The 23,372-nt window shown below is 49.7% G+C and overlaps 1 protein-coding gene across 10 annotated transcripts in view, besides 7 other annotated features; it reads right to left on the bottom strand.

Annotated features, from left to right (window-relative positions):
- Positions 9,643 to 10,167: an enhancer, noted in NCBI's record as "H3K27ac-H3K4me1 hESC enhancer chr1:27634799-27635323 (GRCh37/hg19 assembly coordinates)". NCBI's record gives its function as "activates a minimal SCP1, AML or CMV promoter by ChIP-STARR-seq in naive H9 embryonic stem cells {active_cell/tissue: H9 hESC(naive)}" and the evidence as "EXISTENCE:reporter gene assay evidence [ECO:0000049][PMID:30033119]".
- The window catches only part of WDTC1 (WD and tetratricopeptide repeats 1), a 74,196-nt gene continuing 60,662 nt past the window's right edge, over positions 9,839 to 23,372 (bottom strand). For 5 of the 10 annotated variants that reach the window (XM_047449749.1, NM_001276252.2, XM_011541057.2 and 2 more), the window contains 7 exons: positions 22,074 to 22,149; positions 21,319 to 21,427; positions 20,364 to 20,537; positions 17,014 to 17,249; positions 14,680 to 14,854; positions 13,282 to 13,474; positions 9,839 to 12,289 (listed from right to left, as the gene is read on the bottom strand). In XM_047449749.1, coding sequence (XP_047305705.1) covers positions 12,092 to 12,289; positions 13,282 to 13,474; positions 14,680 to 14,854; positions 17,014 to 17,249; positions 20,364 to 20,537; positions 21,319 to 21,427; positions 22,074 to 22,149 — 1,161 coding nt within the window. In that variant the 3' untranslated portion in view covers positions 9,839 to 12,091. Of the gene's footprint in view, positions 12,290 to 13,281; positions 13,475 to 14,679; positions 14,855 to 15,975; positions 16,537 to 17,013; positions 17,250 to 20,363; positions 20,538 to 21,318; positions 21,428 to 22,073; positions 22,150 to 23,372 lie in introns of those variants that run through there. The other 5 variants (NM_001410767.1, XM_047449761.1, XM_047449760.1 and 2 more) reach the window with 3 other exon arrangements.
- Positions 10,168 to 10,693: an enhancer, noted in NCBI's record as "H3K27ac-H3K4me1 hESC enhancer chr1:27634273-27634798 (GRCh37/hg19 assembly coordinates)". NCBI's record gives its function as "activates a minimal SCP1, AML or CMV promoter by ChIP-STARR-seq in naive H9 embryonic stem cells {active_cell/tissue: H9 hESC(naive)}" and the evidence as "EXISTENCE:reporter gene assay evidence [ECO:0000049][PMID:30033119]".
- Positions 10,694 to 11,219: an enhancer, noted in NCBI's record as "NANOG-H3K27ac-H3K4me1 hESC enhancer chr1:27633747-27634272 (GRCh37/hg19 assembly coordinates)". NCBI's record gives its function as "activates a minimal SCP1, AML or CMV promoter by ChIP-STARR-seq in naive H9 embryonic stem cells {active_cell/tissue: H9 hESC(naive)}" and the evidence as "EXISTENCE:reporter gene assay evidence [ECO:0000049][PMID:30033119]".
- Positions 16,586 to 17,099: an enhancer, noted in NCBI's record as "H3K27ac-H3K4me1 hESC enhancer chr1:27627867-27628380 (GRCh37/hg19 assembly coordinates)". NCBI's record gives its function as "activates a minimal SCP1, AML or CMV promoter by ChIP-STARR-seq in naive H9 embryonic stem cells {active_cell/tissue: H9 hESC(naive)}" and the evidence as "EXISTENCE:reporter gene assay evidence [ECO:0000049][PMID:30033119]".
- Positions 17,100 to 17,612: an enhancer, noted in NCBI's record as "H3K27ac-H3K4me1 hESC enhancer chr1:27627354-27627866 (GRCh37/hg19 assembly coordinates)". NCBI's record gives its function as "activates a minimal SCP1, AML or CMV promoter by ChIP-STARR-seq in naive H9 embryonic stem cells {active_cell/tissue: H9 hESC(naive)}" and the evidence as "EXISTENCE:reporter gene assay evidence [ECO:0000049][PMID:30033119]".
- Positions 17,758 to 17,817: an enhancer, noted in NCBI's record as "active region_541". NCBI's record gives its function as "activates an Ori minimal core promoter by ATAC-STARR-seq in GM12878 lymphoblastoid cells {active_cell/tissue: GM12878}" and the evidence as "EXISTENCE:reporter gene assay evidence [ECO:0000049][PMID:35858748]".
- Positions 18,640 to 19,153: an enhancer, noted in NCBI's record as "H3K27ac-H3K4me1 hESC enhancer chr1:27625813-27626326 (GRCh37/hg19 assembly coordinates)". NCBI's record gives its function as "activates a minimal SCP1, AML or CMV promoter by ChIP-STARR-seq in naive H9 embryonic stem cells {active_cell/tissue: H9 hESC(naive)}" and the evidence as "EXISTENCE:reporter gene assay evidence [ECO:0000049][PMID:30033119]".

Raw genomic sequence — 23,372 nt, 5'->3', positions numbered from 1 at the left:
CCTCACTGGCCTGTTTGCCCTTCACAGAACAAGTCCTGCACTTCATACCCTGTGTGTTGGCTCACACCATTCCCTCATCGGGGATGTCCTTCCTTTCCTCTTCTACACTACTTTCAAGGTTTCAGGCAAATGCTCCCTCTTTGCTCCCAGAGCACGAAGGCTGTGTTTCCACCTATTGAATATTCATGTGTACTTGCATTAGCATTAGCTGTTTACATGTCTGTCGCTCCCAAGAGACTGTGAACTCCTTGAGAAGGGGACTAACTGGATCTATTGGTCCCTGTATCCAACTAGGCAACTGGCAGAGAGGAAGTGCTCAGGTAATGTCACTGGAGTTATTTGTTGACTGTAGATGTCTCCTTAAGGGCTCTGGGGAAGAATCACCTCAATCCAGGGAAAGAGCCTGAGCCAGGGGCATGCTGCAGTATATGCAGCATGTGGGAGGACAGCGTACTCTCTTCTGCTCAGCTTCATCATTGCCCTCTCTGGCCCCTGGAAGCTGGGCCTCTTTCCATTATGACTCCAAACCTTCCCATGGTGGGGAGGAGATTAAGGGGACCAACTCAGTGCAATAAACTATTTCAGAGCAAACCCACTGGTCCTTTAGACATCAGAGTTCACAAAACGACTTCCTTTTCCATTCCATTTTTTTGTTTTATTTGGAAATGGAGTCTCCCTTTGTCACCCTGGCTGGAGTGCAGTGGGGCCATCTCGGGTCACTGCAACCTCTGCCTCACGGGTTCAAGTGATTCTCCTGCCTCAGCCTTCTTAGTAAGCTGGGATTACAGGTGCACACCACCACGCCCAGCTAATTTTTTTTTTTTTTTTTTTGAGATGGAGTCTTGCTCTGTTGCCCAGGCTGGAATGCAGTGGCACTATCTCAGCTCTCTGCAACTTCTGCCTCCCAGGTTTAAGTGATTCTCCTGCCTCAGCCTCCTGAGTAGCTGGGACTATAGGTGTGCACCACCATGCCTACAGATTTTTGTATTTTTCGTAGAGACTGGGTTTCACTGTGTTAGCCAGACTGGTCTTGAACCCCTGACCTCAGGTGATCCACCCACCTTGGCCTCCTGAAGTGCTGGGATTACAGGCGTGAGTCACCGCGCCCAGCCCCAGCTAATTTTTGTATTTTTACTAGAGTCGGGGTTTCACCATGTTGGCCAGGCTGGCCTTAACTCCTGACCTCAAGTGATCCATCCACTTTGGCCTCCTAAAGTGCTGGGATTACCGGCGTGAGCCACTGCACCCGGCCTCCATTCCATTTTATAGATGGGCTAAGTTACCCAAGGTTATAGAAAGCACAGCTAGGACCAGAATCTAAGTCTCCCACTTTGGGGTGCCCAGGAAAGCATGATGGCTACACATGTGGACTCAGGAGTCAGCCAGCTCAGTGTTTGAACTTAAGCTTTGTCAATATCTGTCGCACCTTAGGAAAGTAGCAGAACCTGGTAGGGCATCAGTTTCCTTCTCTCTAAAATGAGAAATAGGCCAGGCGTGGTGGTTCACACCTGTAATCCCAACACTCTGGGAGGCCAAGAGGGGAGGATTGTCTGAGCTCAGGAGTTTGAGACCAGCCTGGGCAACACAGCAAGACCTCATCTCTACTAAAAAAAAAAAAAAAAAAAAAAAATTAGCTGGGCATTGTGGCACATGCCTGTAATTCCAGCTACTCCAGCTACTCGGGAAGATTGCTTGAGCCTGGGGGGGCTGCAGTGAGCCACTATTTGTTTGTCTATTTATTTGAGATGGAGTTTTACTCTTGTTGCCCAGGCTGGAGTGCAATGGCGCGATCTGGCTCACTGCAACCTCCGCCTCCCAGGTTCAAGTGATTCTCCCTGTCTCAGCCTCCCAAGTAGCTGGGATTACAGGTGCATGCCACCATGCCCGGCTAATTTTTGTATTTTTAGTAGAGACGGGGGTTTTACCATATTGGTCAGGCTAGTCTCGAACTCCTGACCTCAGGAGATCCACCCACCTCGGCCTCCCAAAGTGCTGGGATTACAGGTGTGAGCCACCACGCCTGGCCAGTGAGCCATTATTAATTTCATCATCCAGGTATTAAGCCTGGATGTTGATAGTTATCTTTTCTGCTCCTCTCCCTCCTCCCACCCTCCACCCTCCAGCAGACCCCAGTGTCTGTCTCCTTCTTTGTGTTCCTAAGGTTTTGTTTTTTTTTCTTGAGACAAAGTCTTGTTCTGTCACCTAGGCTGGAATGCAGTGGCACAATCTTGGCTCACGGCAACCTCTGCCTCCTGGGTTCAATCGATTCTCATGCCTCAGCCGCCCAAGTAGCTGGGATTACAGGCGCACACCACCATGCCCGGATAATTTTTGTATTTTTAGTAGAGATGGGGCTTCACCATGTTGACTGGGCTGGTGTTGAACTCCTGGCCTCAAGTGATCCTCCTGCCTCAGCCTCCCAAAGTGCTGGGATTACAGGTGTGAGCCACTACATTTGGCCTGGTGATGACCCCTTTTAGGACTTACTAGAGTGATGAGGGGAGACCAGCGTGAGAGTCTCTAAATCACTGTAAAATAGGGGTAAACTATGGCCTCATTAGGACCAGGACCTTATTTTATATGTAAAAAAAGAACTGGGTGGGAGCAGGAGGCAGAGCAACCAAGTGGCACATTCCTTCTTCGGGCCGCCACCCCTGCCAGACATGTTAATATCCCTAGACCTGACAAAGAACCTGGCACGTGTGGGGCACTGAATGATGGCAGAATATACTGGGGAGGACTCACATTTCACAGTAAAATCCAGTGTTCAGCAACCTTGTACAATCCCTGTATTTGCTATTCCTCCAGATAATCTGGAGACTCCAGGAAGGCAAGGAATATGTTGTGTACAATTTTGTTATGCCAATGCCTGGCCCAATGCCAGACACAGAGTAGGAGCTCAAAAGTATCATGGGCCAGGCATGGTGGCTCACACCTGTAATACCAGCATTTAGGGAAGCTGAGGCGGGAGGATCACTTGAGGCCAGGAGTTTGAGACCTGCCTGGGCAATATGGCAAGACCCTGTCTCTATTTAAAGAAAAAAAAAAAAAGTACTGTGACCTATTATAAGAAAATGGTTTATAAAGAATTGTACTAGGCCGGGCGTGATGGCTCACGCCTGTAATCCCAGCACTTTGGGAAGCCAAGGCAGGCGATCACCTGAGGTCAGGAGTTCGAGACCAGCCTGGCCAACATGGCAAAACTCTATCTCTACTAAAAATACAAAAATTAGCTGGGCGTGGTGGCACATGCCTGTAATTCCCGCTACTCGGGAGGCTGAGGCAGGAGAATTGCTTGAACCTGGGTGGCAGAGGTTGCAGTGAGCCGAAATATCACGTCCTGCCCTCCAGCCTGGGCCACAAAGTGAGACTCCATCTCAAAAAAAAAAAAAAAAAAGAATTGGACTAGGAATTAGGGATCAGAAATCCAGTCCTGACTTTGGTTCTAATTCACTAGGGTGCCTCAGGCAAGCCCATCCCTTTTCCTGCCACTCTTTGAAACTCATGGTCCCTATCTGTACAATGTGGAGATAGAGCTAGATCAGTGGTTCTCATCTCTGGCTGCACAGTAAAATGAACCTGGGATGATTTAAAACAATGGATGCCAGCCCAGGTCAGGAATGGAGCAGGACAAAACTCCCATGCTGTTTAGTAGTGGGAGCGCCTGTGAACAGCCACTGTGCTCCAGCCAGCGCAGCAAAGCAAGACCCCACCTCTTAAAAAAAAAAAAAAAAGGACGGATGCCTGGGCTCTACCTCAGACCAATTAAAACAGAATCTCTGGGGTGGGGCATGGAAAGTTATAAAAGCATCCTGGGTGATTCTGATTTACAGCTAGGGCTGAGAGCCTCTGAGTGAGATGACTTCTCATCACCTTTTAAGTTCTGCAACAATATTTGGGCATGCTCTTAAGCAGAGACAGGAGCAGCCCTCTGGGGCCACACTTGCCCTCCACAAATGCAGAAGTCCCTATTTCTAATCTCTGCTTTACTATACATTCACAGTATGGGCTCATCTGAGCCCCAGACTCTATTATCCGCAGGGCTCATGAATGCTTTGGATGAATCACACATGTGGACACTCTTAAAAAATGGAGCACCACTGATCTTTTTGCTGTCTCTGTAGTTTCGCCTTTTCCAGGAAGTCATCTAGTTGGAATCATATGTAGCCAGTTCAGTCTGGCTTCTTTCACAAAGCAATACACATTTAAGTTTCCTCCATATCTTTTTGTGGCTTGATAGCTCATTTCTGTTTATCATGAATAATATTCTATTTTATGGCTGTATCAGTTTGTTTATCCGTTCACTTTTTTTTTTTTTTAATTGAGACGGAGTCTTGCTCTGTCGTCGCCCAGGTTGGAGTGCAGTGGCACAATCTTGGCTCACTGTGACCTCCACCTCCCAGGTTCAAGCAATTTGCCTGCCTCAGCTTCCCAAGTAGCTGGGATAACAGGCACGTGCCACCACGCCCGGTTAATCTTAGTATTTTTAGTAGAGACGGGGTTTCGCCATGTTGGCCGGGCTGGTCTCAAACTCGTGATCTCAAGTGATCCACCTGCCTCAGCCTCCCAAAGTGCTGGGATTATCGGCGTGAGCCACCGCACCTGGCCTCCATTCACCTTTTGAGGGGCATCTTGGTTGCTTCCAGTTTTGGCAATCATGAATAAAGCTGATATAAACATTCATGTACAGGTTTTTACATGGTCATGTTTTCAACCCTTTTAGTTAAATACAAGCAGAGCGACTGCTGCATTGTATGGTAAGAGTATGTTTAGCTTTGTAAGAAACTGCCAAACTGTCTTCCAAAGTGGCTGTACTGTTTTGCATTTCCTCTGCCAATGAATGAGAGTTCCTGTTCCTCTACATCCTTGTCAGCATTTGCTGTGGACAGTTTTAACATTTTAGCTATCCTAGTAAGTGTGCAATGTGCAACGGTATCTCATTGTTTTAATTTGCAATTCCCTGATGACATAATGTTAAAAATCTTTTCATATGCTTACTAGTCACCTGTAAATCATCTTTGGTGTGGTGTTTGGATCTTTTGCCCATTTTGAAATTGGGTTGTTTCCATATTGTTGAGTTTTAAGAGTTCTTGGCCAGGCGCAGTGGCTCATGCCTGTAATCACAGCACTTTGGGAGGCCAAGGCGGGCAGATCACGAGGTCAGGAGATCGAGACCATCCTGGCTAACATGATGAAACCCTGTCTCTACTAAAAATACAAAAAATTAGACAGGTGTGGTGGCGGGCGCCTTTAGTCCCAGCTCCTCGGGAAGCTGAGGCAGGAGAATAGCATGAACCCGGGAGGCAGAGCTTGCAGTGAGCTGAGATTGTGCCACTGCATTCCAGCCTGGGTGACAGAGCAAGACTCCGTCTCAAAAAAAAAAAAAAAAAAGTTGTGTATTTCGAATACAAATCCTTTATCTGTGTTTTACAAATATGTCTCCCAGTCCTTGGCTTTTCTTTTCATTCTCTCCACTGTGTCTTTAACTGAGAAATTTTTTATTTTAATGAAGTCCAACTTGCCAATTTTTTTCTTTCATGGATTGAGGTTTTGGTGTTGTATCTAAAAACTCATTGCCAAATCCAACAAAATAAGTGGCTGGGACTGCAACTCGGATTATGTTAAAGCTATAGATCAAGTTGGATTTTTTTCCTATGTTATCTTCTAGAAGTTTCATAGTTTTGTATTTTAAATTTAGGAGGTCTGTCATCTATTTTGAGTTAACTTTTGTAAACAGTGTTAGGTCAGTGTTTAGATTTTTTTTTTTGCATATGGATGTCCAGTTGTTCCATCACTGTTTGTTGATAAGACTATCGTTTCTCCATTGAATTGACTTTACTGCCTTGTCAAAGATCAGCTGACTGTATTTGTGTGTGTCTATTCCTGGGTTCTCTATTTGTTCCATTGGCCTATTTGTCTATTCTTTTGCCAGTACCACACTGTCTTGATTATTGTAGCTTGATAGTAAGTCTTGAAGTCAGGAGTGTTAATCCTCTGAATTTGTTTTTCGTAAGTATTATGTTGGTTATTCTGGGTCTTTCTTCTTTTTCTCCATTTTTAACAAGAAGTTTATTTAAACAACAAGATGCTTGACTTTAAAGGAAAACTATTTAGGATTTTTTTTTAAGAGTAATTTATCTCTAGTTAAAGACAGATTGCCCTACATGTAAGAGCTATATACACGAAAAGTTATAAAATTGTCCTTGGTTTTACAATGATAAATGAAAAACATTAAAATTCTCCAATTGAATAAGGTATGCAAGGATTTTTTTTTTTTGTTAAAATAGTGAGAACAAAATAACATTGCAATGTAAGATAAGAGTTGAATGAGCATGCCACTGATGGAGAAAGGGAGGTAATTTTCAAGAATCGGTATTTTTCCCCACAGATATGTTTTGATTGACATCAAGTGGATGTCATTGGCCATTTAATATTTAAAACAGCAAAATGCTTGTGAACATACACCCATTATTTTATGTACAATAAGGGAATGGGTAAGGGAAAAATAAAAGAATAGAGAAAACTATACTATAGTAATAGTCATGATGTGGTGGAACCAAATTGCAGTTTTCTAATTGAGAATGTAATCTTGGTCTATAAGAACAAAGTTCTAGAGTAAAGAAGCAGGTTCCTTTTTCAGTAGACACTTCTTGTCTGTTGCTGAAACACATCAATTGTATCTTCATCCTCCATTTCCAACTGTGCAGGTGTGTCTGTTTCATTGACTGGTTGCCTGTCAAATTAGAATCTGATCTGCCTCACTGACAAACTCTGTCATTCACAATAGACTTTCATTACTCTACTAAGTGGTATATGACTCTTTTTTTTTCTTTTATGAGATGGCATCTCGTTCTGTCACCCAGGCTGGAGGGCAGTGGCGCGATCTCGGCTCACTGCAACCTCCGCCTCCCGGGTTCAAGCAATTCTCCTGCCTCAGCTTCCCAAGTAGCTGAGACTACAGGCACATACCACCATGTCCAGCTATTTTTTTGTATTTTTAGTAGAGACGGGGTTTCACCATATTGGTCAGGCTGGTCTCAAACTCCAGACCTCAGGTGATCCACCCACCTTGGCCTCCCAAAGTGCTGGGATTACAGGTGTGAGCCACCATACCCGGCCGGTATATGACTTTTAATTTTAAACTGCACCATGGAACAATCCTGCCCCATTACCTTCAAATTAATAAGATTGTTATTCTCAGTCTTGACTCCTTCCTTGGGCTTTTCATCAGCCACACGAGTGCTGGAGTCTCCTCAGCTGCTACTTCACCAATGAGGCACCAGGTCTGCACAGAATGAATGAGCACACAAACGGCACCAGGAGAGGCAGAAGGAGGTGGAACAGTGGAACTATTCTGGGTCTGCTACATTTTCATGTAAACTTTAGGATCAGTTGGTGATACTCACAAAATAACTTGCTGGGACTATGACCAGGATCACATTGAAGCTATAGATCAAGTTGGAAAGAACTGACATCCTAATATTGAGTTTTCCTATCCGTGAACATGGACCATCTCTCCATTTACTTGATCTTCCTTGGTTTCTTTTATCAGTTTTGTAGTTTTGCTCATACAAACCTTGTACATATGTTGTTAGATTTATTCCTAAGTACTTTTTTGGGGGGATGCTAATGAGGGCTGAATACGTGGAGGACAAGGTGCTTTTAGAACAGTGAAACTATTCTGTATGACAATGTAATGGTGGATACGAGACATGCATTTGTCAAAACCCATAGAACTTTGCAACACAAAGAGTGAACCGTAATGTAAACTATGGACTTCAGTTATCATAATGTATCAATATTGGTTCATTAATTACAACAACACACTAATGCAAGATGTTAATAATTGGGAAAATTGAGCTGGGGAAAGAGGGTTATATGAAACTCATTATACTATCTGCTCAATTTTCTGTAAGCCTAAAACTGCTCTAGAAAGTAAAGGCTATTAATTTTTTAAAAAATGGAGTACCAACTCCAAATGAAATGGAGACCCTCGTGAAGTCTTCCAATGCCTCCCTTGCCTACAGGATTGAGTCTGTGGTCTCTCACCAGCCATAGGAAGTCCTTCAGTTTGACTGCTCCTCCAGTCTACCCTCTACAATCCAGCCAGATGGAGTCACTCAGGGTTCATGAAGGAACCTGAGACTCTGCACTACTCCCTGGTCTGGAACATTGTCCTTCCTTTGTCTGGTCTGGAAATGCCTTCAAGAAGCTTCTGCAGACGTTAATTTGGGTACACAGAGGAATGATACCAGCCCACAGTATCTGTTTTATAATACCACCTATTGTGTTTCCGGCAGGACCTCTCAGTAGTTTCAGTAGTGGAACTGCTATTCCCACAGACTAAACCATAGTTCCCCAACTGTGCATCAAGGTGCCTGAGGGCACCCACAGCAAATTCACAGGGGGCAAAGTAGGATATTTTGAAAGATATTCAACATCTTTGGCTAATGAGAGAACTATTAGCTCAAGGTAGTTCACAGTTCCATTATTACATTATGCCACAATCCTTTTGATGATGTCATCTTTAAGAAGCTGGGTCTTGGCCGGGCGCAGTGGCTCATGCCTGTAATCCCAGCACTTTGGGAGGCCGAGGCGGGTGGACCACAAGGTCAGGAGAGCGAGACCATCTTGGCTAACGTGGTGAAACCCCATCTCTACTAAAAACATAAAAAATAAGCCAGGTCTGGTGGCAGCTGCCTGTAGTCCCAGCTACTCAGGAGGCTGAGGCAGGAGAATGGCATGAACTCAGAAGGTGGAGCTTGCGGTGAGCCGAAATCGCACCACTGCACTCCAGCCTGGGCAACAGAGCAAGACTCCGCCTCAAAAAAAAAAAAAAAAAAAAAAAAGAAGCTGGGTCTTTAGTGGTTGCTGTGATAAAAAGCAAATGAAAATCAATGTGGGACAGGAAATGAAGGCAGCAGTGTTTGCTTTGATTAGAAAATTTAACAAGTTGTTCAGTGCCCAATGGGCAGCATAGATCCCATTAGTAATTGCAGTTGTTTAAGAATGAAGGCTGGGCGCGGTGGCTCACACCTGTAATCCCAGCACTTTGGGAGGTTGAGGCGGGCAGATCACCTGAGGTCAGGAGTTTGAGACCAGCCTGGCCAAGGTGGTGAAACCCCATCTCTGCTAAAAATACAAAAAATTAGCTGGGTGTGGTGGCGGGCACCTGTAATCCCAGCTACTTGGGAGGCTGAGGCAGGAGAATCGCTTGAACCCAGGAGGCGGAGGTTGCAGTGAGCCGCAATTGCACAATTGCACTCCAGCCTGGGCGACAAAAACGAAACTGTCTCAAAAAAAAAATAAAAAATAAAAAATAAATAAAAATGCAAAAAAAAAAAAATAGCTGGGCATGGTGGCACATGCCTGTAATCCCAGCTACTTGGGAGGCTGAGGTAGGAGAATCACTTGAACCCGGGAGGCGGTGGTTGCAGTGAGCTGAGATCATGCCACTGCACTCCAGCCTGGGCAACAGAGCAAGACTCCGTCTCAAAAAAAAAAAAAAAAAAAAAGAATGAAATAAATATTGTTTCTTCCAATTCAGGTGTATTATTTTTTAAATGGCAACTAACTTGTTAGGACATAAATACTTTTTAAGTGATTTGGACTTAACTACTTAATAAATTGAACTGTTATTTCTTTTGGCTTAGAGGCTCCATGAAAAAATTACTGAGATGGTAATGGTGCTGTGAGCTAAGAAAGTTCAGGAACCTATAGTCTAAGAGATTATCTAATCCAGGGCACTTCAAAAACTTGCATATGTGAAATCAATTTAGTGGGTTATAGCCATATTTTTTTCCCTAATAAAACAGAAGGGTAAGCAGAGTACACTGCATGTAGCAAGGGTAAATATTATTGTGTAAAACTTTTGTTCATTTTTTTTATATATATATACACACACACATATCTACAAGTAATCATGTGTATATTGGGTCACAATGTAAAATGGTTTGAAAAACCACTAAGATTCCAAGTCCCTTATTTTACTGATGAGAAAACAGCCAGAGAGTGAAAGCTGATGATTACAAATCACAGCCATGAGAGCTGGGCTCTGCACTCAGCCCTGCTGGGCTGGGTGGCCGCTGCTCACGGTGACCCTTCAAGGCAGGCCTCATTCTGTCCAGTAGAGGTGTGGTTACTAAGTCATAGAGCTACAGAGGTGAGGGACCAGGTGCCCTCACTTTGGTTCCAAGACCCATCTGCACCCCACAAATGCCACCAGCCACACCTAGAACAAAATGGTTTTAATCAATTGCGTCACCCTCACTCTCCTGGGAGCGGAGCAACAAAAAGGCTCGGCTCCTGCCCCCAGAGGACAGTAAGGCTTATGTGTCTCTCCACACTGCAGGGCCCAGGCTGGGCAGGCAGGGGGTGGGAAGCAGGACAGGGGGCAGGGAGGGAGGGTGGGAGGCAGGGAGGAAATGGCAGGTGGCTGGAACACAAGAAAGCAAAGGGGACCCAGCTGGTCCTTGGGCCCCAGGGCCCAGCCCCAATACTCCTGCTCTCCCTTCTCCCTGGCTAGAGAAAGGTCACGGAGAAGAGACAGGGGAGCAGGTCCCAGCAGCAGGAGAAGCAGCAGCAGCTGTTTCCTTCACCAATAAATATACTTCATTACCAAGCTAGAAGAGAGGGGTGGGAAGAGGGACTGGGGTGGGAAGGAAGGGGGAGAAGCTGCCACCTGTGTTGCTGGGATTAAAGCAATGAGATGGTGCCAGACCCCCCACCACTATCCTCACCCTCCACTTGTCTTCTTAAAACTGTGAAAAAGCTTTTAACATGGCCCTCCTGTCTCCAGGGCTGCTCTGAAGCCTGACTGAGAGGAGGCACCTGGCAGAGACAGGGGCTGAGGGAGGGAGCGAGGGAGTGGAGGGAGAGGAGAAGGGAGGCTGCTTTTCCCCAGGGGCTGCAGCTGGAGGGCTGGAGCCAAGTAAGCACTGAAGGGGAAGCAGGGAGGGAGAGAGGGGGAAGGATGAACCAACTACCTGGAGCAGCTGGAGCTAAGAGCCGGGGGCAGAGGGGAGGAGAGGCCTGGTGAGTGGTGGGTTGATCGCTGCATCCAGTGTAAAGCTTGGGGCTGCTGGGGAGGGAGGGGCCGAGTAAGGGACTTTCCCATCTGAGTGGCTCAGGAGACCCACCCCTCTCCCCTCAGAGCAGCAGGGGACAGAGAAAAGCCATCACTTCTTTGGTCTTTGTGGCGGCTCAGCATGTGGGATGGGAAGGAGGGCAGAAAGGGCAGAGAAGGGCCCTTAGCAGGAAGCGCCACCTCAGCAGAGTAGGCCTGGCTGGGAGCTCTGGCAGAAAGGTCACAGTGAGGCTGAGGAGCGCCCAAGAGGAGAATGGCCGTAGTGCAGAAGTGCTGGCATGGATGGGTGGGGTAAGGTGCAGTGCCCCACCCTCTGCCAGGGCCCTTGGGAAAGGCAGAGCCTCCAGAGGTGGCCAGTGAGAGTAGGTGCAGGGCCAGAGCTAGTAGCCAGGAGAGGAGCGAGGGTGCTCCACAGCGACCTCAGCAGGTGGCCTGGTCTTGCCCACTCCAGGGCTCCCATCCTTCCTTTGGGCTCCGCTCTAACACTGGTGGCTCTGGAGGGAGGGTGGGACCCATCCTTTTTCAAAACCTTTCCTGAAGACCACAGGGGAGCTAGCCTTGCAGGCTAGGGAGCAAGAGTGGCAACAGGCCAAGGCGAGCCCTTACCAATTGGGAATCCCACTCCTCCTGCTGCTGCCAGCTAAAGGGCAGGACAGTCCCTGAAGACAGTTCAGCTTGTTCCTCCCCACCTGAGGCAGAAGGGGTTTTGAGGCAGGCCAGAGCCCTCCAGGGACATGAAAGCAGGAGATGGGGGGGGGCATATGGAGGGGTGTCCCCTCCTGCTCTTTTTTTCAGGGCTGGGGATAGTCAGGGGACAATCAGCCCAGAGTCCGAAAGCCAGCAAGTTGTAGCAACCTCCACCCCTAACGCCAAACTAACAAACAAAACAGGGGAAATGAAAAAAAAGGGTGGTGGGGAAGACAAACCAAAACAGAATCCCCTGACCTCCTGCCCAGGGCAGAGGGTCCAGCCAGTAGCAGGGGCTGGGGACCAGGGCTGGAGGGTCTAGCTGGGCCGGCACTGCACCTGGCCCTCAGAGCTGTCCTCATCATCAGAGGCCCCGGCACCCCCACTGCTCAGGCCCGTGATCCGGTAGCCCATGTTGAGCAGCATCACCTCCAACGGGTCTGCATTCATGCGCCGCTGGTTGGCCTGTGAAGCACCCTCCATATCTTCCACGACTCGGCCTGTGAGGTCTTCACTCTGTGGTGGAGAAAGGGGTGACACACGTGGGGCTCAGGGAGGGAGAGGCACCAGGGTACACGTATAGGGGAGGGGGAGGGAAATACACAGACTAAACTATCTATAGGGGGAGGTACACATACATGCCAGGAGGTGTATATGGTGGAGGGGAACACACAACCTTGGCTACATATTGTTGGGGGTGCTCACGCTGGAATATATATGGGAGATACGCCACCTCAGGATATACAGGCAGGTCATAACATGCTGGGATATACGTGGGGGACAGTACACACCAGGATATGTTGGACACACATACTGGGATACCTGGGACAAGGGGCAGATACAACTTCCCCACCCCATTCTGTTTTGTTGCCACAACTCTTGCTTCATCTTTCTTTCTCCTCTCCTCTCAATGGGGAAGCCTATAGGGGTCCTCTCTTTAAAAGTCACAGCAAATTATCTTGGGAATCAGACATACCACTTGACTTTTGTTTTGCCAGCTGGGAAGAGGGAAGCAGTAGGGCAGAGGGGAAGGGGAGGCACCAAGCCAGCTTCCCTGGCTACCCACCCTGGGAGTGGAGGGGACTCCACTGTCCTAAGTGTCCTTGTGGGCTGGACACTTCACAGGCATCTCTTCTTTACTTCTCACCACAACCTTTCAAGGTGGTGCTGTCATTCCCATTCCCAATGTACAGATGATTAAAAGCCTGGGTCAGAGATGGTGAAGTCTCTCAGGCAGCGAGTGAGGAGACTGGATTCAAACTTAGGCCTACCAGATGCCAAAGCCTGCATAGTTCCCTTGTGACCAGGGCCTCTGCACAGCTTCTGGAGAATTGCTGCTGCATTTGGAGCTTCTGGAATCTGAGAACACAGCCTTGGGCCCCGGGGTAAGGCTTACTTAGCAGCTTCTAGCCTCTGGGTGGCTCATTTCTCTTCCCTGCGCTAGCAGGCTCCACTGGAGCCTTCCACAGAGTCCCTGCCCTCCTCTCTGCTTGGCTCTGCACCCTCACCTCTGGTCGGGGGTTCCAGAGCCGCACAACAGGATCGATGCCACTGGTGGCCAGGAAGCAGTAGCTGGGGTGTGGCTGCAGGCAGTTGACAATGGACTCATCCCCTTGGAGCACACGGACCAGGTTGGTGGTCTCCTTTTCCCAGATGAAGAAGGAGCCATCGTCAGAGCCACTGACGATATACTGAGCGTTGCTGGCGGGGGGGCAAAGGGCAGGGAGGTCAGGTGGGGTACTGCCCTACAGCCTCAAGTAGAGGCTGCATGGCCTAGGTAAAGGGGGAGCAAGGAAGTCTGCAGCCACTCAGTCCCCCACACGCTGGGGTGTGCACTTGACCCAGAATTCCTCCAGGTATATAGCCCTGGTCACTGTTCTCTTAAACCTAGGGCCAGCGACTACCTGGATTTCTCCAAGACAGTCTCCCCTATAGTTCATTATTACCTCCTTGGGCCAGGATCATCTTACATCATCTCTCGGGTCTCCAAAATACCCTGTTTTAAGCCTCCCCTGAGCAGTTCCAGGCTTCTGGCATCCAGACTCCCCCTGCCCCTCACACACCACTGACATTTAGAGGGCATCTTGATGGATTCTTTTTTTTTCTTAGAGACAGGGTCTCATTCTGTCACCCAAGCTGGAGTACAGTGGCATGATCATGGCTCACTGTGGCCTTAACTGGTCCTCCAATGTCAACCTCCTGAATAGCTGGGACTACAGGTGCACGTCACCACACCCAGATAATTTAAAACATTTTTTGTAGAGATGGGGGTCTATGCTGTCCAGGCTGGTCTCAAACTCCTGGGCTCAAGCGATCCTCCTGCTTCAGCCTCCCCAAGTGCTGGGATTACGGGCATGAGCCACTGTGCCTGGCCTATGGAGAGATTCTTGATTCATGTTCATGTGTCTCACCTACCCAAAGAAAGTACATCTACAAATGAGGGGTGGGGATGATGGTGTCTGAAACACAGAGTTTGTCCCTTAGTACACAGGGCACAGTTTTGAGCACAAAACAGATGTGCCAAGATTCCCAGCCTTGGAGGGCTGCTGCCTCATACTCTCAAGCAGAGGGAGGTTCCTTGAATGCAGATAAAGAAACCAAGCTCTGGCACATGCAGACAGAGGGAGAAGGAGGTGGGGGATGAAGGAGTAGTTCAGGCACTGCGCTGGAGGCTCTACTTGGGTTATCTTATTAGTCCTTGTTATGGCCTCATAAATGGGCATGGCAGGTTGGTCATTTCATAGATTAAAAAACTTTAGAGGCTGACAAAGGTGAAGCCATTTGCCCAAGGGTACAGAGGCAGAGCAGGGATTTGAGATTCTTCTCTGAAACCATTATGCCCCAACACTCCCCACTCAACCTCCCGCTGCCAACTGGGCTGCACCCTCCTCTTCAGGGCCTCGGACCTGCCAAAGAAATTGGCCTCTTTGATATCCGTGGTGGTGTTGCAGTGGCCGCAGTAGCGGAACTGATAGTCGTAGCTTCGCTCCCGCAGCACCATTTCATCCTCTGAGATGGAGTCCTTGCGGCTCGTGCTGCGGAGGCGGACTGGGGCGCCGCCACCAGGTCCCTTCTTCTCCTCTGGGGGCAGAGATCCAGAAAAGGTAAGCGCCTTGTTCCTTTCTCTCCTTCCCTATTTTCCCCCACCTATGGCTCTGTTTTCAGTCCAAAGTCTGACAACATAGAGCTACCTGCCTCCACCCTTATCCTGGAAAACTGGGGAAAGGTTGTGAGGAAGATGCATCTTTGGATCTAGCCCCTGAGGATGTTCAAGAGGAGACCTTTGATGCCAGGAGGGCCCTGGTTCAGGTCCCTAAATGAGGGCCTGAAAGCCCCAAAGATGCAGAGACTCAAAGTCTGTTTCTGTGGAGGTAAGAGGCAGGGGAGGGTAGAGTGAGGCACTAGCAAAGAGAGAATGGATGACTTTTTTTTTTTTTTTTGAGATGGTCACGCAGGCTGGAGTGCAGTGGCGTGATCTCGGCTCACTGCAACCTCCACCTCCAAGGTTCAAGCGATTCTCCTGCCTCAGCCTCCTGAGTAACTGGGACTACCAGGCACGTGCCACCACGCCCAGCTAATTTTTGTATTTTTAGTAGAGACGGGGTTTCGCCACATTGGCCAGGCTGGTCTCAAACTCCTGACCTCAGGTGATCCACCTGCCTTGGCCTCCCAAAGTGCTGGGATTACAGGCATGAGCCACCGAGCCCAGCCTGGGTGACTTTTATAAACAGATTCATGGCACTTAGGGCAGTAAGGACCATGCCCTTACCCTCTGGAAGACAAGTTATTAGGGTCCCAAATGAGAGTCACTGATCAGTTAAGTGACAGGTAAAGTCACACAAGTTTTCTCAGTTCCTTAAAAGTGACTCACTCATACCTGCTTCAGGGCCTTGGAGCATGCTGGTTCATATGCCAGGAGCTCTGCATCTCCCACAGCTACATTTTGTTGTTGTTGTTGTTTGAGACAGGATTTTGCTCTGTCACCCAGGCTGGAGTGCAGTGGTGTGATCATGGCTCACTGTAGCCTTGACCTCCTGGGCTCAAGTGATCCTCCTGCCTCAGCTGCCCGAGGAGCTGGGACTACAGGTGTGTGCCACCACCCCTGGCTAATTTTTTTTAATTTTTCTTTTGTTGAGATGGGATCTTGCTATGTTGTCCTAGCTGATATTGAACTCCTGGGCTCAAGCTATTTTCCCACATCAGCCTCCCAAAGTGCTGGGATTATAAGCGTGAGCCACCGCGCTAGGCCACACAGCTATATTTTGTATCTAGTTAATGCTTCCTTTGGATCCTTTAGATCTTAGTTTAAATGTTTCTTCCTGAAGAACCCCAGAATGCCATCAAGCCCACCCCCTCCCAGCATGCACACCATTCAGGTCCCCATGGCACTTGTCATACTTTTTTGTTTCTCCTTTATCACTTGGTTCCTTCACTAGACTGTAAATGCCATAAACACAGAAATTCCACGTGACTTAGTCACAGCTCTATTCCCAGGACCCAGCACAGTGCCTGGCACATGGCAGGTGTCTGATAACTATTCATTAAACAAATTAATTTATCACGTGGTTGGTAAACTGCAAAGGAGAGAGGTGAAGATCCATGTCTGCCTCCTATGAGCTCACCGTTCACGTTTACAGACCACACTCCGATGGCCCAGTTCATTCTCCAGCACACTGAGGGGAGCTGGGCAGGGCTTCGTGCTCTTTGTGCAGGTAGGTAGAGAGGCTGTGCTTTCTTCAAGGCCACACAGTCAGGTGGTGGAGCTGCATTTGGAACCGAGGCCCCACATTCCAAGCCTGAGGCATTTCTACTGCTCTGCGCTATTGTCTCTGCTGCACTTGTACACTCGGAACAAACACAATGACCAGCTTCTGCCTCTCAGATGCCCAAGTGGAACCACCAGGGCCCTGTCTAAGCAGGTGTGAATGCCTAGCGGGAGCCTGACTGAGCTCAGCTTCCTCCTATCCTGGGCACCAGGCACTCCCCCAGGTGCTTTAAACATGCCATTTAAACATGCTGATCCTCAATAGAAACGCTCAGTGGGAGGTGCTGGCATGCCTCCTTTTCAGACCAGGAAACACTCTGAGAGAGACACCAAGTAACTGCCCCAAAGTTGCATGGTTTCTGAATCAACATCTGAACCCAGGCCTCTCCAATCCCAGAACCATGACCTCTCCAGAATGTCATGCAGCATCTCAAAGAGAAAGAGTAACAGCACCCCCTCCTCAGTGCCCACTCACCACCATCATTTTTAGAGAAGAGGGCAGCTGTGATGTCGCGGCCCAATGCATCACAAGCGCTGCTGTGGGCCTGCTCCGGAAATTTCCCTTTGAAGTCGTCCAGGCACTCCAGGGCTTCAGCCACATACTTGAGCTCAAAGAGGCAGCGGGCCAGGCGAAAGTGTGCCTTCAGGTGGCATGGGTTTAGGGAGATGGCCTTGAGGCAGTCCCTCAGGGCATCATAGTGGTCACCATCCCTGGGAAGGCAGGGAAGAGCGGCTTGGAGGTGGAGCCACGTGGCAAGCAAGGGGTCCCCATTCAGTCTCCTCTGCTTCCTGTGGCCACCCCAGCCCACCACTGACAGATCTCATGGCAAGGGGACTTGAGGACGAAGAGAATCCTGGCTCAGCCCAGGCCTCCCCCATCAGGAGACAGAGTATGGTTAAGGAGCAAGCCAGGAAACCCTGAGGTCTTGAGGGTGGCAAAAGCTGGTGTCAGGCTGCCCTCTGCTGGGCACAGAGTGCAACTGCACACTGGCTCACCCCAGGCACCCGCAGCTCTGCAGCAGAAGGCCTGGCATCTTGCCCACCACAGGCTCCCCAAGCCCTCCTTCTCTCTTCCCCCATCCACCTTCTCAAATCACCCCCGGCTGGCCTTCAAAGCCACATCCAAGGCAGGGGGCCCTCAAGGACAGTTCTGTGGTCTGGGGAAGCCAGAAGTGTCAGGCTGGGGACGCAGGGTCTGACCAGCAGGCAGCAAGCCCTCAGCCAGACCCCCCCCTGTCCTGGCTGACTGATCCACAGCAGCTGTGGCCTCTACCTCCTGGGGCTGGAGGATGGGGCCTGACAGTCTGGCAGAGTCAGCTCTCTGGAAGCTGATGGTAAGGGGGGTTGTGCACACCAGGAGCTCCAAATCGTCCCCACTCACTTCTCCAACCTCCTGAAGCATGGATGAAGGGAAGTGGGAGTGCTTTTGATGGGGAAGCGGGGAAAGAGGAAGTGAAAGGAGGTCAGAGAAGCCCCTCCTTTTCCCACCCTGTGCCAGAATATAGGAAGCATACTCCCCCAGCACCCACAGACCTGTCCTTGCCTCTTGTCTGGAGAGCCAGACAGGCCACAGGAACTGCTTCTTCAGAAGCCATTTTTTTTTTTCAGCTGGGCTGGAGTAGGCCTAGGACCCAACTGTGCCAAGCAGCAGTAAGAGGCACCCCTTAGAGTTAATGGCCCCTTCTCCAAGGGCACAGCTCACAACAATCCGGCATGGCTAAGGCAGGCCTGACATGGGAAGGTTCTTCCTGAGCCTCCTTCTGCAGCACTCAGAGGGAGCACCCAGTCCTCGGAACAGCCACGCTCAGACCAGGAACCAGCAGCTCAGCCCATGTGGGGGCAGGCAGGAAACAGAGCTGCTTCAATGGCGTGGCCTGCGTCAGGATGAGTGGCTCTGACGAAGGAGCAGGCACTGTTTGGAAACCCAATTACTGCCTGCAAGGTGCCCCTCTGAGCTCCTGGGGAGAGCCAGACCAGAGACCAGCCAGGAGCCAGAGGGTGACAGCTCCCACTGCATCCAGGAGCAGATGGCAGCCCTGGGGAGACTGGCCCAGGACAGAATGTGACATTCTAGGGGTCACTGGCAGGCATGTGGGGATGGGGGTAGAGAGCAGGCTGGCCCCAGGGCTCACCCTTCCTAGACTCACTGCCAGATCAATCTCCCTGAAAGGACAGCCCTCGGCACATCCCTCTCCTGCTCAGAACTCTCCAGTAGCTGCCCATCATGCACTGAATCGAGGCCAACGTCACCGCTCTGCATTCCAAGCTCTCCCTAGGCCGGCCCCAGGCTACCTCACAGACTCATCTCCTGCCAGTCCCTTTCCGAACCCTCTGCTCCAGCCAAATGGATTTGCTGTTCTGCAAACAAGCTCTTCAGTCAGTCCCCCACCCCCATGCCTTTGTTCACACCATTTCATCTCCCTGGAATGTCCTTCCCCCACAGGCCCCTCCTCTCCTTCATCTCCTGTCTAAGCCTGCCTACACTTAAAGCCCATTCAGACGCCATGTCTTTCTGATGCTTCCCTGCTCCCCAGCTAAAGCGACCCAACTTTTCTTGATGCCCACAGCCCTTTACCTGACCATTCACAAGACTCACTGCTTCCTATCTCTTTAATGCTGAACTATGTCCACCACTTTACCCACTGTCTGGAGAGGCTCCTCTGGAGCACAGGAACTCAGAGTGATAGAACTTTGTGTTCCTAGTACCTAGCACATAGTAGGAGCTCAGAGAACATGCTGAGGGCACATATGGATTAGGAAATCACCAACCTCTCTTAGCAAGAATGCAGGAGTGAAGCTGAGCTCTTAGCCTACAGCCTGGATGAGGACCACTGAGTTCTACCCAACTGTTTGTTGGACAGAGAGGTGAATCAACTCACGATTCATCCAAAACAGTCATCTCCTGGGTTTGGCTACCACCTGAGCCCTTGGCCAACTCCTGATGCCTTAGCTAAGGCCGGGGGACAGCATCTTCCCCACCCCCACCTAGCATTACCATCCTGCTGACTTGGGTGGGTTTCTTAAGTTTCCCTCTCTGGCCTGCCGAGTTGCAGCCAGACGATGGCACACCAGCTGGCCTGTCTGTCTGGGCAGAGCCGACGGATGCCAGACGGAGCAGAAATGGCTGTGGGCCCAGCTCTATCCATCTCTAGTCCTGGCCCTGGCTGGGGGATGGGGGGGCGGGGTCTGCATGTCTGCTTGCCTGCTGGTGCTGCAGGCAGTAGGGCTGGGGGCCCTGATGGTCTCCAAAGATGAGGAGTTCTTTCAGATATGGTCTACTTCTTTATTACCAGCCACCATACCCTAGCGTGACCCATAGCCAGCTTTGGATCTCTGGGATATGGTTTGTACTCAGTCCAAAGGGTCTAAGAACACAGAAAGCAAGCCTTAGAGGGGCAAGGGACTGCAGAATATTTTAGACACATACCAACTGAATTCACCAAACCCCTCATTTCCACTTAGCAAGATTCCACTGCTCTTCAAAGTCCAATTCTCCAACAGTTGGGACTAACAGTCCTCAACTCATACTTCCCCAGGGGCCACAGCACTTTATAATAATATGCCATGTAGAAACTAGTTTTGAACATGTTCCACGTAACTGTGAGCTTCCTTAGTGCTTGAGACTTCCTGATTAATGGGTCAGGTGCCTGCCCACCATTAGCCTGGAGGTGGGGAGGAGAGGCCAAGAAGCCCTAAGAGGCAGCAATATGTTCTTGCCACTTTCCCTGGATGCCTTGGCAACTTGGCTCCATCAGGCCCCTGCCTTTTGGTCCAGCTGCTTTCTCCCTCATCCTGACCCAGATCCCCTCTGCAGTGGCCACTCACCACTTGCGCTTCATGTAGGCTGCTGCTCGGTTTCCATAAAGCATGGCATTGTGAGGGGCCCTCTGCACAGCCTTGCTGTAAAGCTGAATGGCTTGGGTCCACTGCTGGCAGGCAAAAGCCTCATTGGCTTGCTGTTTCACACGCTCCAGGTATGGTGGTAGCTCTACTTGGGGGCTGCAGGGGAAATAGAGCCAAGTCAGAACAGTCAAAGAAGGTCAGAGCAGCCCCTCAGGGAGTCTGTAACATGGCCTGAGGGCCACCCAGATTTTCTTGGCCCCTGGGATCTGACTGCTATCTGGAAGAGGGGACCACTACCCTGGTCTGGGATATTACCTATTACTGTGATAGGGAATACCATTTGGAATTTCATTCCAAATACCATTCCAAATACTCTCAGCCAGTGAAAAGAAGGGCAGAAATGAAGCTGTACTTCAACTCCTGGGCATGGTAGTAGCTGATACCACCTGCCTCCATGCTGAGCTGAACCTTATGACCACCCGAGTCCCTCCTGTGGATCGCTGTCTAGAGAACTCTATTTCTCTCAAGGCTAGGGAATTTGAGCGCCTCTGTATCCAAAGCCCAGCACAGAGGCTGGCAGAGAAAAGAGGCAAGGATATGCTATAGGATGGGGAATAATATAATGCGGAGGCCCATTTGTATGCAGCCCCTTTTTGGAGACAGCTCAGTGCTAAGAGGCAGCTAGCTCCTGAGTCCTGACCCCAGTTACTGGTACCAACAGGCTAGAGCTACAGTCTGACCATGACTAGTGTTCTGCCAGGCAGAGGGGCACTGGAAACACTAGGCACCCTCCAAGAAGGCTCTTTGCCTTGGTCCTCACTCTCTGGGATGCATGAGTGGGTGTGGGTCAGGAGGAAGATTTACAGGTTATGTCCCTCCCTCCAGTCCATATAGTGTAACTGGGGCTTGGAGGGCTGGACAAGCCAGCTGGCCTCACCTGACATGTCCCCTACTCTCCGGCAGCCGGAAGCCATTGCTATGAAGGTGCAGGCCATTGGACACACCGTTGGACACACCGTTGGTGGACATCTTGCCATTCTGGACTTCTGGCAGGAGATAGTGAGAAAGTGACAGCAACAACTCAGGAAGAGGACCCATTTCTTCCTGGCAGCCCTCTAGCTTCCATCACGGGGTCTGATGGTTCCATCGTGGGACTGTTCTCCCAGAGTAAGATCCATTCCCAGAAAGCAAGTTCTGACATAAAGAAAAGCCCGTGCGCCCTCTGCTGGCTGGCGAGGGACACAACTTCACCGTGGCATTACTCAGCTGGGGCTGGGGCTGGGGCTAGGGCTGGGGCTGGGGCTAGGGTTGGGGCTGGGGCTAGGGCTGGGGCTGGGGGTGGGAATGGAGTGAGGAGGTGCCTAAATCAACTGTAGGCCCCAGGAAGAAATCAATGAGAAGACTGGGCCAGGATACAAAGGAGAGGGGAACTATTTCAGGTTCTCAAGAGCCAAGCCATGGAAGGAACCTGTCTTTTCAGAGGGAAGCAAAAAGGGCAGTGATGCAAAGCTCTTGAAGAGATCTCTGCTCTATTGTCATCCTCTTTCTTACTGCATAGGTGGGGTTATTTCAGAGATCTGCTATTTTTGGAGGATCACGGTCCAGAGTAAAGGGCAGGCTTCTCAGCAGGTGTAGCATGCACTTAAGCTCCCCTACACCGCCGCAGTAGAGATACCCTAAGGGAGAACTTACCCCCCGAGGAGTGGCATTTTCTAGGCAAGAGGAAGGTGTACGGCCGCTGCTTGTAAGTCAAGTCAAACAAATAGACCTAGAGTTGAGGGGGGCAAAAAAAGAGATGGAAGCTGTGAGGTAAGGATGTGGTTGAACCAGTAAGCAGGTCTTGGTTTCTCAAGAACTAGAGTCTTGGAACACAGTGAGTGTTGAGCATAGAACAATCAAGCTATCCTAAGAGGTACTTCCAGCAAACCTCAGGCTGGAAAATCTTCCTAGCTCTAGCATTCAGGGTGGGCTATCTGATCTACCCAAAGTCCTGCTTGAAATACTATCATTAATTAGAATCACATTTGGCTGGGCATGGTGGCGTAGCCTGTAATCCTAGCACTTTAGGAGGCTGAGGCAGGAGGGTGGTTGCTTGAGCCCAGGAGTTTGAGACCAGCTTGGGCAACATGGCAAAACCCCGTCTTTACAAGAAATACAAAAACTAGCCAGGTGTGGTGGCGTGTGCCTGTGGTCCCAGCTACTCAGGAGGCTGAGGTGGGGGAATCACTTGAGCCTGGGATGTCGAGGCTGCAGTGACCTGAGATTGTACCACTGCACTCCAGCCTGGGTGACAGAATGAGACCCTGCCTCAAAACAAACAAACAAACAAACAAAATAGAAGGTCAGGTGCAGTGGTTAATGCCTGTAATCCCAGCATTTGGGAGGGTGAGGTGGGCGGATCACCTGAGGTCAGGAGTTCGAGACTAGCCTGACCAACATCGTGAAACCCCATCTCTACTAAAAATACAAAATTAGCCAGGCGTGGCATGTGCCTGTAATCCCAGCTACTTGGAAGGCTGAGGCAGGAGAATTGCTTAAATCCAGGAGGCAGAGCGGAGGTTGCAGTGAGCCGAGATCGCACCATTGCCCTCCAGCCTGGGCAACAAGAGCGAAACTCCAACTCAAAAAAAAAAAACAAAAAACACGTCACATGTTTAAAAAGATGAAGAAGTCCTCAAAGGTCACAAAGCCAAATGTTTACCCTAGCACTACTCCTGAGCTTTTCATGATTCCTTGGACAGGTCCAGGAATGTCTGGCTTATCCTCACCTATTCTGCATCCCGCTTCATTTGTATATATTTGGGCCTTGCCTTGTAATGTCATTAACTGTTTCGTTTGTCATGTCTCCCATCAGCCTGGGGATGGATCATATTTCCCACTTGTCTCTATTATATTTATAATAATGCGAGTCCCAGAGTAAGTGCTCAGTGTTGGTAGAGTAAATAAATGTATGCAAGGCTTACTAAATATCCTGAGAGCACACAAACAGAA

This window comes from Homo sapiens, chromosome 1 (assembly GCF_000001405.40).
Source record: "Homo sapiens chromosome 1, GRCh38.p14 Primary Assembly".
Classification (NCBI taxonomy): Eukaryota; Metazoa; Chordata; class Mammalia; order Primates; family Hominidae; genus Homo; species Homo sapiens.
The sequence above is the reverse complement of the archived record's forward strand: the minus strand, read 5'-3'. Positions and strand labels throughout refer to the sequence as shown.